Source organism: Homo sapiens, chromosome 13 (assembly GCF_000001405.40).
Source record: "Homo sapiens chromosome 13, GRCh38.p14 Primary Assembly".
NCBI classification, from domain to species: domain Eukaryota; kingdom Metazoa; phylum Chordata; class Mammalia; order Primates; family Hominidae; genus Homo; species Homo sapiens.
In genome coordinates this window covers 112,615,740-112,618,361 of record NC_000013.11, presented here as the reverse complement: position 1 = coordinate 112,618,361, position 2,622 = coordinate 112,615,740, and the positions used below count along the sequence as shown (strand labels likewise).

General features: G+C 48.7%; 1 annotated feature.

Moving 5' to 3' along the window:
• Window positions 226-726: an enhancer, noted in NCBI's record as "H3K4me1 hESC enhancer chr13:113271950-113272450 (GRCh37/hg19 assembly coordinates)". NCBI's record gives its function as "activates a minimal SCP1, AML or CMV promoter by ChIP-STARR-seq in naive H9 embryonic stem cells {active_cell/tissue: H9 hESC(naive)}" and the evidence as "EXISTENCE:reporter gene assay evidence [ECO:0000049][PMID:30033119]".

Here is a 2,622-nt window from a genome sequence, read left to right as displayed (position 1 = left end):
GAGGACCTCTCCATGAATTTCTCCCCTGTGGAAAGGCTGAGGCCCTGGGACGATTATGTCCAGGGAAGACAGCGAACGGGCACTGAGTGGCGGCCTCTGGGCTGCAGTCTCAGCGGGCGTGGGCGTGGCATGTGTCCAGGTCTCAGGCGGGCCATCTTGTAGCCCAGCAGAGTCCAAGGGTCAATGCTGTCTGCAGGACAGGGACCTCTGTCTCCCAGGGGCCTCTGCTGTGACCTGGCCGGGGGTCTCCTGCTCTCTCCTTCTCTTCTGATCTGTTTCAGCTCTGGATGGGTCACTGGGCCCTGGAGGGAGGGGGTGCCCCAGGTCTTGCTGCGTTCACCTTCATCTTGAAGCCCGAGAGAGCAGCACGCATTTGGAGCAGGACTGGTGTCCACATTCAGCCCCGTCTGTGGCCAGACAGGCGCCTCCCAACAAAGACAGACGGACAGTGTAACTCCAGCCACCAGGTGTGAACCCCCGAGTGGACTGACAAAGCCGCCTCCCAGCCCACGGGAGAGAGAGGCTCTGCACCTTGACCTGGTGAAGAATAAGGGGCCATAAACCATGGGATTCCTCTTGGAGTCCCTTGGGGAGGGAGCTTCTGGCAGAGACGATTCTTCCGGATAGGTTTGATGTATTCCAGTCTCACATTGCAGTAAGAATTGATTGCAGGGGAAGAAGATGGAACCACCTTCCCTAAAGGTCTTTAACGACAGAACTGGTTTCTACCTGTGTTGGGTCAGTTAATTGGGTCCTGCCTGAAGGGAAGAAAAGGAATCAGGGCATCGCCCAGGTTCCTCCTAGTCCTGTGCTTGTGTGACCTGAAATAAAGAGGGTTTTCTGCATCTAGAAAACTGAGTGGATGGGCTTAGCTGGGTCTCAGATGTAATCTGTTTGCATGTGTCGTGGGAGGTAATTTAAATTATCGAAAATACTTTGTATCTGATGTCTTTTAAACACCAATTTATGAGCACAGCAAGAACAAAATGCTTTAGGCCATCCAAAGCGGTACTAAAGACACAATACCACACTTATGTGTCAATGGAAAAACCAAACTCTGCAAAATACTTAAAGAGGTTTATTCTCAGCAAATATGAGTGACTGCAGCCCAGGGAAACACAGGCTTTAGAATCCTGACCCAGTGCTCCCAAGGCAGACAGTTTGTAACTGCCTCACACATTTCCAGGACGTGTGACCCCTACAGGCAAAGTCGCAGATTGACACATGGAGGTTATGCGTTGGCTTGGCCAAAAAGGCAGGAAGTCTTGAAGCAGGGATTTCCAGGTCCTAGGTGGATTCCGAGATTCTTAATTTTGAAATTGTTTGAAGGAGCAAGGCTTTGTCTAAAACTTGGGATCAACAGAAAGGAATGTCCAACTTTTGACTTTACTATGTGTTAGTTAAGATAAGAAAGTTTGCTAGCCTTGCCAGAGCAAGCCACAGTTCCCGGGGTCAGGGTGACCTCTTAGCAAGGTTGATGGTCTGCAGATGCACCTGTTGCCAGGCCCCTTAGGAAGGAATCTGGAGGGCAAAGGGTGGTCAAAGCTTAGTGCTCATTGTCATACTCCAGGACAAACCAGGGTACGTCCCCTGCAGAGGTGCCAGGAACAGTTCCAGGCATGCACCTCCAGGCACGCACCTCCAGGCACGGAGGAAGCGAGAAAAATACTGCCAGACGACCAATTGCTATGGTCATTTCTGGGGGAAAAAAAGTAGACGAGAGATGGATTTACCAAGCGAAATAGGAAGGCTTTGAGGGCAACATTGAGTTCTGTAGAGTCAGGAGGACCTCAGGCTCGTCACCAAACCCAGATCCCAGCACCTGGGGGACCTCTCTTTAATTTGGAAGAGGAAAATCCACTACTTTTCAAAGAAAGCACTGAGCTTTTATAATAAGTAAATTAATGAAACTCCTAATGCTGTAATTAATAACAGGAAGAATTAAAAGGATTAAATAAATTCGTTGTTGTTGGAGAGAAAGTACCCTTGAGGACAGCTGGGACTTTTAACTGTCTGCTGTCAGCTCTGGCACCACTGGATCACTCCCGAATGCGGTGTTTGTACCATGATTGTAAGATCCCAGCATCCGGAGCTGGGGTGACTGTGAGTGACTGCGGCGATAACTCTGAGCCCTGCAAAGAGGGGCTGGATCACTCCCGAATGCAGTGTTTGTACCGTGATTGTAAGATCCCGGCACCTGGAGCTGGGGGGACTGTGAGTGACCGCGGCGATAACTCTGAGGCCCTGCAAAGAGGGGCTGGCCACCAACTGCATGGAAACTGCATGCATCTGACAGGTCGATGCTCTTTTCAATGGGAAGAAATAGCCATTTGCAAGTTATTGGTTTTATGCCAAACACATGAATATCACACATCACTTGTGTTATTTCACAAAAGCCAAACTTAGGGAGTAAAAGTATCTTTTCTTAGCCTTATAAAATGCTGAAGAATGCCTCCTATTTGGCCCCTTCTCTGAATATTTATGATTCACTGAAGGTCTTTCCCCTAAGTGCCTTTTGAATCACATTTAATAAGTCTTCATTTATTTATTCATAGCAAACATTTATTGAATGGCAATATATCGATGCTGGGATATAGGTATTAATAAAGCATGGCCTCCACC